The sequence below is a fragment of the Homo sapiens genome, chromosome 4 (genome assembly GCF_000001405.40).
Source record: "Homo sapiens chromosome 4, GRCh38.p14 Primary Assembly".
Taxonomy (NCBI): domain Eukaryota; kingdom Metazoa; phylum Chordata; class Mammalia; order Primates; family Hominidae; genus Homo; species Homo sapiens.
In genome coordinates, this window is record NC_000004.12 from 94846643 (window position 1) to 94859427 (window position 12785).

General features: G+C 35.3%; 1 protein-coding gene across 5 annotated transcripts in view; it reads left to right on the forward strand.

The window, feature by feature from the left end:
- BMPR1B (bone morphogenetic protein receptor type 1B) overlaps positions 1 to 12785 on the forward strand; it is a 400496-nt gene that overhangs the window by 88688 nt on the left and 299023 nt on the right. The window lies entirely within an intron of this gene.

Sequence of the window (12785 nt, forward strand, 5' to 3'; positions counted from 1 at the left end):
CTATTGTGGGACCTTGTGATCATGTGAGTTAATACTTAATGAACTCCCCTTTATATGTATATATGTATCTATATATCTATATATCTATATCTATATATCCATTCCATTAGTTCTGTCCTTCTAGAGAACCCTAATACAGTATACGAACATCAAATCAAAATAGATTAAAGACAAATCTGACACCCCAGACTGTGAAACTACTCAAAAAAAAAAAACGTTGGGGAAACTCTCTAGGACATAGGACTAGGCAAAAATTTCTTGAGTAATACTCCACAGGCACAGGCAACCAAAGCAAAAATGGACAAATGGCATTATATCAAGTTACAAAGCTTCTGTACTGTAAAAGAAAGTCAACAAAGTGAAGAGACAAACCACAGAATGGGAGAAAATACTTGTAACTACCCATCTGACAAGGAATAAATAACCAGAAAATATAAGGGGCTCAAACATTGAATGGGAAAAAATCTGATCAAAATGGGCAGAAAATCTGAAGAAACATTTCTCAAAAGACATACAAATGGCAAACAGGTATATAAAAAGGTGCTAGACATCACTGATCAACAGAGCAATGCAAATTAAAACTACAATGAGATATAATCTCACTCCAGTTAAAATGGCTTTTATCCAAAAAACAGGCAGTAACAAATGCTGTTGAGGATGTAGAGATATGGGAATCCTTGTACACTGTTCGTGTATGTGTAAATTAGCACAGCCACTATGGAAAACAGTGTGAAGATTCCTGACAAAAGTAAAAACAGGACTACCATATGATCCAGCCATTCCACTGCTAGGTATTTACCCAAAAGAAAGGAAATCAGTGTTATCGAATAGATATTTGCACTCCCATGTTTATTGCAGCACTGTTCACAATAGTCAAGATTTGGAAGCAACCAGAGGTGTCCATTACCAGATGAATGGATAAGGAAAATATGGTACAAATACACAATGGAGTACTATTCAGCCATAAAAAACAATGAGACTGTCATTTGCAGCAACATAGGTGGAACTGGAGGACATTATGTTAAATGAAATGAGCCAGGCAGAGAAAGACAAACTTTGCATGTTCTTGTTCATTTGTGGGAGCTAAAATTTAAACAACTGAACTTGTGGAGATAGAGAGTAGAATGATGTTTCATAGTGGCTGACAAGGGTAGTGGGGTGGGATTGGGAGTGGCAAGTAAGGATGGGTAAAGGCTACAAAAATATACAGAATGAATAAGATCTATTTGATAGCAGCCAACAGTAATTTATTGTACATTAAAAAAACTAAAAGAGTATAATTGGATTTTTTGTAACACGAAGAAATGATAAATGCTTAAGGTATTGGTTACCTCATTTACCCTGATGTGATTATTATGTATTGAGTGCCTGCATCAAAATATTTCATGTACTCCATAAATGTATACACCTAATATGTGCCTACAAAAATTAAAAATTAAAAAAATTCAAGGATGTAAGCATAAGAAATATCCAGTTTAATACAGGTGTAGTATTGGTAAGTAAATGCAATTCTAGCCTATTATAATCTTAGGATTTTATTAGGAATTAGAAGAAAAGGAAGCTAGATATCAGTTAAGCTCTCAATCTATGAAAGCCATTTGTAGAGAATTAAAATTCATTGAACTGCTCTATGTAATAGTTCTTCATCATTAAACCCCCAACATGCCCAATTTACAGAACTGCAAATGGGGGATAAATGGTTATTTTAAGGAATTAATCACTGCTTTGACTTTCATGGATTAGGAGTGAGGTACAATTCGTTTTATATTGGGGGAAGACAATCCTGGTGAACAGCAAGTGCAGATGACCCAAGGCAGCAATGTGCCCAATGCGCTTGAAGACCAGCAACGAGGCCAGCATACTTGGAGTGGAATGATCTAAGAGGAAACTAGTAAGAGGGAGATCAGAGAGGTAACAGGCACCAAGATCATGATTGGTCTCATAGACAGTCTTAAGGACTTTAGTTTTTATTTTTAGTGACATGGAAAGTCATTGGAATGTTTTGATCACATGGATAATATGAACTATCATTGATGATTCTGGCTGCTGCATGGATAGGAATGTTAGGACAAAGGGTGGGAGTGAGAGACCTGCTAGAGGCTACTGAAGCGGTTCCAGGTGGGCTAGAATGGCAGGGGTGGAGCTGATGAGAAAAGGTAAAATTCAGGGTGTATTTAAAGGACAAATAGAAAGGATTTTATTTAGATGTAGTAGATAAATGAGAGGGAGGCATCGAGAACAATTCCAAGGATTTTTCCAGATGACATGATGGAGTTCCCATTCATAAGGCTGAGAGGGACTGAGAGGTGAAGACATGGGTGAAACCAGAAATTCATTTTTAGATACACTGAGATGTCAATTAAAATGGATATGCAAGGCTGGAGTTCAGGCTGGCTCCAGATAAAAGTTTGAGTTTTGTTAGTATATAGGTTTTACCTAAAGCCACTAAGTGGTACAAGACCATGTAGGGAGTGAATGTAGATAGAAAGCAGTATGAGGACTGAGCCCAGAGCACTCCAAGGTTTGGAAGTTGGGGTAATAAATGAGCAAAGGAGAATGAGAAAAAGCAAGGTGTAGGGAAATCAGGAGTGCATATGTGTCCTGGCAGCCATGTGATGAAAGTATTTGAAAGAGAAGGAATTGATAACCTCAGTTAAGTCCTGTTTAAAGTTTAGCAACTTGGAGAGTCAACGGGTGCCCTTGACAAAAGCAAGTTGGAGTGTTGAGGGACGCCTGATTGGGTTGGTTTCAGTAGAGGTCAAGGCGGGGAAACGAAGTATAGGCAGCAGATTTAGACCGTTCTCTTGAGGAAAAAGGGAGCTGAGAAATGAGTGGCAGCTGGAATAGGAAATGAGGTCAAGAGAGTTTTCTTTGTTGTTGTTTTTGATTTTGTTTTTTAAAATGAAAGTAAATACATCATGGGAATGATCTAGTAGAGAGAGAAAAGAGAGAAGGGGAAACTGCTGTAGTGCTGTGCTTGAGTTGGCCAGAGAAGATGGGATCTCATGCAAAAACAGGGACAGGGGGATGGGCTCAGGTAGGTACACAGCCTGTTTATCCAGTTAGGGGGAAAGCAGAGAGTGCATCTGGCCACAGATGCAGGTTGGTAATTAGATGTGATGGGGCATAATAAGGTAGGAGGGGTTTTTTGGTGTGTGTGTGTGTGTGTGTGTGTGTGTTTTAGTTTCTGTGGGAACAAGAAGTAAGGAAGGGCTAGGAGAGAAGGTGCGCTTAGAAACCAAGTGCAAGGCTAGTGCTCGGTGATTTTCGTAGACCAGCTGTTGCCTGTGCTAGGATCTACTGTATTCTCTCTCCATTTGTTCCAACCCTTTATTAGAAACCTACAGTGCTTACAGGATTGCCTCAGACTTGCTTTTTTCCCTTCCTCCCAGTTCTTGTTGATGCCATTCCTTCAGCCTCCCACAGCACCATGGACATGGGGCTCTTGTGTGCAGTGGGCTTTGACTAAAGAGTTGAGACAATGGAGGGAGATTACAACATAATCCTTCCTGACTTCATTTTTTTAATCCTTTTCCTCATGCTTCAGAGCAGGGGCTCTTCCTTTTTTGTGCCATGGATCCCTTTGGCAGTCTAGGGAAACCTAGGACTGCCTCTTCAAGGTAATTTTTAAATGAAAAAAAAAAAATGTATAGCATTGCAAAGGAAATTAATGAATAGAATACAGTTTTCAAAAATATAAAAAGCACAATTGTGCTATAATGCATGTGTCTTTATGATGTGTTAAACAAACTCTAGTGGCAGGTAGCGTGACTGCCTTATTTTCAAAGTAGTAATGTAAACAATCTTTCAAGATATCTGTAACAGCTGAGATATGGTGTGAAAATGTTTGTGATTTCTGCCAGTGGCAAGGTCACAGGTATTGGTAATCGTACTGTGATTTGTTGCCTATGTTCATAAAGAAATGCTAGATCTTAGTTAAAAGTTCATAAAAATAGAAAATCTTTTTCCCATTGAATTTCTATCCTTCATCCTGTGCATGAATCTTTTGGGCATCTGTGGTCTTCAGGTTAATAACCCCTGCCTCAGTGGTACCTCTGAGTGTACCGCTCTTGTCCAAGGCTGGATCCTACTACCTGTGGTCTAGCCTCCTATGCCCTCCTCACCAGCCCCATTTTCTTCGAAACTTACTCCAAACAGATATCCCAGATTGTTCTTGTATCTTAAATCTCTCTCTCCATGGGTTCTTTTTGTTTCCTCTTGGAATATGCTTGCATTTATGTTCTTTCTTCCATTTCCCATGAGGGCAATAAATAGACTTACTTGTGTGGCTGTGGCTAGTGCAATGACTGGCATGTGCCCTGTAAATGTTTACTACTTGTAGAAGGTAATCACTAAACGTTTATTAGATAAATAAACAGATACTTCTATTTCCACTGGGAATTCTCAGGTTTTTTTTTCTTCCAAATTAGAGAATGTTACAAATGTCTTCCTACTGGAAAGGGGAAAATGCTTATAAGAATTATTTAGCATCATGCAAGCCCCTTTGGTAAACACAGTAGAGTCTGCAAATTTCATCAGTCAGACCAAGATAGTTACCGTCCTCGTAGAGGGGTATGCTGGATTTCCAAATGTAAGTAATTTTGATAGGAAAACTGAGAATGACTCTTTGTCAAACCAGTTCATTGGTTTCTATGAAAGTCTGGTGACAAAAATAATTTTGAGTTATAACTTGCTGGACTTTGGAATTAAAAATATAGTTAATCTCTATTTAAGTGACATGTTAAGAAATATAGTTCTGATTTGAATTTTGCAGTAGATACTAAGTAGACACATGTATCTTAGAGTAAAAGGATAGGATTCAGTGACCTATTCCTAACTTCCAAGAAGTTAGTTTTGGAGAAATGTTGGCTATTAGCATTAGAACATGTTTTTATCCTTGATATGAATTTACTTTTAGTCTATAATAATTTTAAAAATTATTTACTTTCCTCATAGTCCAGTAACTGATATTCTTTGAACACATACCTCTAATTTATACAGCTATTAATCATATTTTATCTTATAATATTTATTATTTTCTGTTCTTTATTGAATGATCACTTGAAATTTTATATTTATATATTTATGCAAACAAAGGAGTCAGTTGAGATCATTATAAAGCGTATAGGTTAATGCTTGGCAGATAGTAAACACTATGCAAATAAAATAAGGAACCACAAGCATACATATACACAAATTTTTATTCTTTCCAACTAGATTTAAAACTGTCTGTAAACTCTACGAGTATGAAGACCTTGTTTGTCCTGTACATCTTCGTACACTCAGTGCCTGGCATAATGTAGGCTCATAGTGTGTTATCAGTAAGTGTTTGTTGCATGAATGTAAGCCACTGCTCTTACATTGTGTAGATTGGAAATAAAGATGGTGAAAGATAAGAGATTATTCAGGTAACTTGTGCTAAAGGCAAACACATTTTCCCTTACCTGTTTGTATTCATTGCAGTTATTATTTCTTACAAATACAAAATGAGTGTAGTTACTACAAGTGGATTAGGTGTAAGGAGGTACAGTATTCAGCTGGGATACACTAGCATGGCTCTCTTGGTTCTTTATGGCCAGCCTCCATTCTTCTTAGATGTGTACAGGCCATATCCATTAAACAACATTTTGAATATAATCTGCGGTTTTAAGTGAATATTTGGAAGAAAAGTTATTTAAACTGAATAGATAGGAAAAAATATATGTATACACACATATGGACATTACTATGTCTAATTTTGAGGAATGATAGAAATTTTAGCATATAATTAACCAGTCATTTATAGATTAAAGAATCTAAATTGATAAGCTATATTTTAATATTACTAAAATATGATACTTTTACAATTAAGATGTTGCTTTTTCTAGTTCCAAATGGTTGTCATGGTAACAAAAGTACATTATTGGTTTTCTTACATTTATGTCCTTGCCCATTCATTATGGGATTTAGCTGTTTTACAGGGTCGTGAAAATTAATCAGTAGCATTTTCTTCTTGTAATGGCAAGCACCCACATTAAAATTATTGCATTCCATGTAACTTATCTTTTGATATCACTGTCTTATTTCTCCTCCTTAAAAAAAAGCCAGAGCAACTACTAGACTATATATAAAGTAATTTTATACTTGCCAATTGATCTTCCCTTGGGAGCTACTGTAGTTTTTATAAATAGCTTGCTGACTTCGAAGAAACATATTTCTGTTCTTAGGAACTCATCTGGAAAGAACATTTCTTTGGGGGATATGGAGACCATGTGTGGAATTCCAGCTACAAGAAAAATTCTGGGATTTAGACAAAGAAATATTAGGTGGTTTAAAATTGAAAGTCTTTTTGTGAAAAATTGGTTTGCTCTTAATAGCCATATTTTATGTTCTTAGAACCTAATATATTGTGGATTCGTGGTCCCCAGCCTGGAGTTTCCAGACTCCGGGGACCTGCAAACCCAGATTGGTATCACTGATTACATTATCTTGGTCAGAGTACTAATTCGAAATTGTATGTGTTTATTAAAAATGAGCAAATGTTTATTACTTAAAAAAGCAACTCATTTATTTACTAAATTTTTCATAACGTGGAGTTCATGAAGTAAAAATGAAAAGTTTCTTTGGGAAAGACTCATGTCAGTTTGAAGCTTGACCTTTATGTGTGATTGCTACCTCTAGAGATTTTAATTTATTGAAATACTGTGTCCAATTGTAAAGCTAAGAATACAAACCACTTAAGTGAATTTTACTTTACAGTGAATATCAAAGATTGAACTACTTTTTATCCCAAATTAAAATTTTTGATCAAAGATGCAGGTGGTTTTATGGTAGTTCATAAAATATATTCTCTCCATGAGGATAATATGTATGGAGGCTGTATCTTATAGATAGTATTATCTTTAATGTAATGAATGATACTGAATTCATAAATAAGGTAACTTTTATTGTTTTTGGTTTAAGAGATATTCAAAATAAGCTTTGTTGTTTTCAAGGCTAGTGTTATTTTTGTTTCTTTTTAAAATTTATTTAGGGGGAGGGGAGGAAGAGGAGGTCATGGTCAGACTAGCAGCACATGCCGCCATCAGACTTCAGACACTCTCTGAAGGTGTTTCACACCTCACCCTCCATTTCTCCAAATCACTGCAAAAGCACTAAACCTGAAGATTGAATTCTGTATGAATTCAACATTTGGAAATTTAAAAAAAAACAAATGAATAATTATAGAATTGCTCCAATTTTCAGTCCAGTTTGATTTTTAAGAAAACTTTACTTATCTCATTCTTAAATGGCTTAGAAATGTTGATCAGAAATTTCTCAGTCATTCCAGTGATTTTACAGCCTTTTTCTTCAGGATGGTGATCAGAGTACTTAACCTACCTTCCTCTTATTGCAAATTAAACTTATTTCCTGTTCAATCTGTAGTTGAAGGAAAGTAACTGTTTGAATTATTTGCATTTCCCCTGGGCTATCTTCATATATTTGAGGACTACTGTGAAGCTCTCTATTCCTTCTAGCAAGCCCCAAGATGCCTCATCTATTGAATAAGGCCTTTCGTATCCTGAAATGATAAAAAATGGACATGATGCTCTACTGTAATTGTACCCTAATATAAAGGAGAGATTATATGAAAATAATTTTATAAAAACATTTAAGAAGTGCATTTTGAAAAATAATGAATTTGAATATGGAAATATGTGGACATGACTATAATAAGAATAATGAAGTAGATAGATTCTTGTACTTATATGTAGCACCACTATGAACAGCATATTTACAAATGAAGGCTGAAAAAGTTTTGTTGTATCAGTGACTCAGAAACAACAAGGGGTATTGAGATTGTGGATGCAAGTTTTTGATAACGGTGACAAGGCTCTGAACAACACAAATCTCTTGATTTATGTAGTTGTTGCCTTCTTGGAATTCAGTATGTATTTAAAATCTTTGATAAATACTATGCATTTATATGTAAAATGCAGTAAGGTTCTAGACTGAGATAATTAAACATATTTTTCACTCTCATGAGTCCAGCCATTCATTCAAGAGTCTTGAGGGACCCATGAAAACTCTTCGTTTGGGACAGTCTCCTGTATTGCAGTAAACCTAGCAAGCCTATTCTTGGCCCATGAAAAGAAAGACATGCTCCCTAGTCATTGTGCAAGCCAAAAATGCGATAACTTATTTTCCAAAAAGCTACTCTTTATGTGATCCCCTTGAGAACCTCTGCTCTAGGGTTGTAAGCTTTTAAACTTGAGGGCTATTTTCTAAAGCATCAGTATTTTTCTTTTTTCCTTCTTTGTAGTCTATTCAATTATCATCTCTTATACTGAAATATAATCAATAAGGACAAAGGATTCACATTCTTTTATTCCAGAATATGCCTAACATATATTGGATGGCACCAACCATAATAATCTAGGTGCAAAAAAATTGTAAACAAATTATCAGTTCTAACAAACCACTGTGGATGATTATTAAAAAGATCCTTTAGTCTTCTTTAAAGGATCCTTCTTTAAAGGAATTCTGGTTCATATTGAGATTATTTTATTTTATAATATGTGGGGGGATAAGAACACCAAACATTTATAGAGCACTTATCTAACAGTTATTATGTTACTTGCCTTCTCTCTCATTTTAAGTCTCATAACCATCTGATGAAGCAAGCATTATTAATATCTTCATTTGATAGAAAAGAAATCAGAGCCATAGTGAGGTTAATTATCTTGCTCAAGGTCACACAGCTATTAAATAGTAGAGCCTGGACTTAAACTCAGGTTTCTCGGACTCTACAGCATTTGCTCTAAATTGCACTGGTGTGCCGATGACTCTTTTCAGATGTTTTTCATCACTATGAAACTATGTCTAACATAGACCTTCAGAAAAGCTCTTCCCATCTCTTTTAAAATAACATAACATGTACGTAACAAAAATACGGGATAATTAAAACTCTGAAGACAGAGGATAGTGCTTATTTTTTGTTAATCACCTTCAACTTCAACTAAAGGGAAAGCCTGTTTCTAAGTCTTCTGGTTCCAGTTACCACTGAAGAAAAGGAATGTGCATTGCTGCCACTGGTGATATTTGTGACTTCTAGATAAACAGTGCCTTCTAGTCTCCTGTGTATTATTCTTTTCAGCATTAATAAATTTATTTAAAATAAAGTTATTTGAGTTAATCAAATTCTTGTGCTTGGAAGTGAAATAATCAGATTTTAACTTACATTTAAATTTTAGAGAGGTCTGAATTGATTATTTAAATCTCAGTAATTTATTGAAACATCACTGTGTGCCCCATAAATGTGTACAGTTAGTATTTGTCAAATGAAAATAAAATAAAACTTCGAATAACTTTGCAGTTGTTAACACAGCCTCTTCCAGTTTTCTGCTAAAAGACCAGTGAAGGCCCAGGGGGAATACAACAACAAAAAAGACTGACAATTGCTAGAAATTTTGATGCATTTCTTTCACCTATAAGGAGCTGGCCTGGGGAAAAAAACAGATTGTCTCATGAAAAAGAAAACCCAGCTATCCAAAGTAAGAAATGTAGAGGTAGTTTTTGTTGTTGTTGTTTTTTTGATAAGATCTGCTGCTTGCTCAGAGACCCATGATCTTTTAACAGCTAGAAAACTGGGCAGCCCTCCATCTGCTGCAGGGGTGCCGTTTTTCTGAGGATGCTGTAGCATTATCATCACTGATGCCGCCTCCTGACCTCCTGTTCCATATGTCTCTATTCTCTTCTTATGTCTTTCTCCAGCCAGCTAGCAGCGTAAGTCATAGAAAACAGCAAGAACCTGGGAGAGGGGGAGCAGCTGACTACTGCATCCTGAAAGGAGGGGGTTTCCTCCTGTAAAGGGCTCAAGGTGGGGACAGAGAACTCAATGGTAGGCATTTTAGTTTTCAAGTGCTCCTTTTGCTGATTAACAATATGTAACAAGAAGGTCCTGCTGCAGTCCAGAAGACCAGCTTTAAATGAATGTATCACAGTCACTGAGAACTGGGCTTCTAACTCTTCATATCTTTCTACATTCTTGCTATAGCATTGAAAAGGGATGTCTATAATCAGCTAAGGGCATAATGGGCAGGCCAAACTGTTTTGTGGTAGATGCCGTCATCATTACAGAAAGGCAGTAGAAAGGTGGCAAACAACTTGGGACCTAATTTAGAAAACTATGCCAGGTGAGGGCCTATCATCCTGAAGATGCAAGAGGAAAGCACATTTTTTGAAATATTTGTAATGACTAGAACACTTAGAAAACAGTTTAGCATAACAGAAGGTAGAAGATATGATATTTATGAAACTTCAGCAAAGAGCTCTAAGGAGAACAGACTGCTTCTCTAAAGGTTTGGGAAGATTGCAAGGAACACTAAAACAGGGTTGGACACAAATCTGCAGAGGGGGCAAGAAAGAATTCATGATTTTAAAAACTGAAGTAAAGAGTATGCTTCAGGAACTCTTTCAGATTTCAAGAGAAGGATCAAGAAATGAAAAGAATGAGATAAAAAAGTATGGAGGAGAGAGAACTAAAATCCAGTCTGAGAAAGATAAATGCAAATGTCTGATAAAATATGAAAAAAAGGCCTTACTCTTATGCAAATAAATGCAAATTAAAATAAATTAACAAATATTTAAGAAAATGTGCCAAATTAACAAATATTTAAGCAAATGACAACATACTTTTGATACAAGTTCAGTGAAAAGGTGCTATGTGAAATATGTAGCCGTTTAGGCAGTTTTGTACCATTTTCTGTAGAAGGTTAGCACTTTATCTTCAATGAATAGTTACACACATATAGTAAGATCTATATAAAATGACAACAGAATTTGGAAAAAATCTAGTGGACTATAAGATATTTAGATGTAATAATTTATGGCCTTAAAATCATGGTTTAAAAAATTTTAGTTTACAAAATTTTATGTAAGAATATCCTTCCGATATAATGTACTTTATACATTTCCCAAGCTAGAAGCTAACAGATGAACAAGGAGAATAAATATATTAAGTAGGAAATAAATTTGGGAAGCTGCTTGCTACCCAGATTTATTATGACTTACTTCCCAGGTCATTTATTATTACTTGAAAAAGCATAATAAGTGTTAGCTCATTATAGGCTCTGAGATGTCCTCAAAAAGACATCTGTTAAATTTGCTTAAACCTATTTTAAACAATACAACACTTTTTTTAGTGGAATAGATACTAATATCTCCCAGAATGTTCTTTAAATATCAGTTTAGAAAACAATGTGTTAATGACAAAAATATATTTTTGAAAAACATATGTTTATGTAAAATGGAAGTAAATACACCAGATTATTTACTTTTTATTTTTATTTTTTTATTTTTTTGAGACGGAGTCTCGCTCTGTCGCCCAGGCTGGAGTGCAGTGGCGCAATCTTGGCTCACTGCAAGCTCTGCCTGCAGGGTTCACGCCATTCTCCTGCCTCAGTCTCCCGAGTAGCTGGGACTACAGGTGCCCACCACCACGCCTGGCTAATTTTTTTTTTTGTATTTTTAGTAGAGACAGGGTTTCACCATGTTAGCCAGGATGGTCTCGATCTCCTGACCTCGTGATCTGCCCTCTTCGGCCTCCCAAAATGCTGGGATTACAGGCGTGAGCCACCGTGCCTGGCCAATACACCAAATAATTTAAAATGATCACTGAATAGAATTGTTTTATGCTTGTATGTAACTCCTGAATTTTCCTCAACAAGAATTTCAATAGAAATGCAATGCTTTTGTTATAAAAATATATAGCAAGTAAAAAATATAGAAAATAAATTTGGCTATAAAACTTAGTCATTAGAAGACATAAAATGGAACCATCCTTCTGATGGAATTCATGCCATAATTTTTTTCTATTATAGAATTTTGGATTAGGCATTTATTTTAAGATGTGGCAAGAGATATTTTGACCAAATTTTTAGTGATATACATGAGTTAGTTTCTCCTGAACTGTAAATTAGTTCAAATAGACCAAAAAATGGAAAGAGTTATCTTGAGTCTAAGAAGAGTGAAAATAGTTGTTTTCTGTTCATTTTGTTTTAATCAAAGTTTGAATACAACTCTTGTTATTTGTATTAACTCCAATCAAATGAAAAATGGGGCAGGTAGGCTAGTTGCTGTTGATGGTTGAAGGGTATGGGTGTGTGCATGTGTATGTGTGTTTAAACTTTGTAACTTCTACTTCATTTTTAATACATCAAAGTGAAAGACACTGTAATCCTATCTCCTCAGTCTTTCACCACCCCTTCCAAATCCACTTAAATTCTTCTAATTATTCACAGATGAGATTAAGTCCAAAGGAATTTTTGTTTACATTGTTGTTCTATTTTCTCTTTTTCTTTAGAGATGACTACCTTTGTTTTTGCAATTATGTTAATAGATAAGCATGTCAACATAATTTATAATTGCCTTAATTATTTTATTAATGCAAGACTTTTACACTATCAGAGGCAGATCTGGAAGTGATTTAGATGCTTGCCTTTTTTGAAGAATTTGAACTGTTGTCCCATCAGACTGTCTAGAGCCAACTAAATTGGGAGATGAGAGAACTGAGCTTCAAGAGGCCACTCTTTATGTTAGAATGGGTAGTATTCACTGTAAGTTGTAAAGTGAAGTTGAAAGAAATGCACGTTCTAGTTAATAATTTTTTAAAAAAAGAATTACTTTTTAACAGGATTTTAAAAAAACTTCCGTCTTTTAAATTTTAAAACGCTTTCCATCTTTTCAATTATCCAAGTTAATTTTTCATGACTTAAACTGAAGATTACAGCACGCAATACCCTTCCCACGAGGGAGGCTTTTAATAG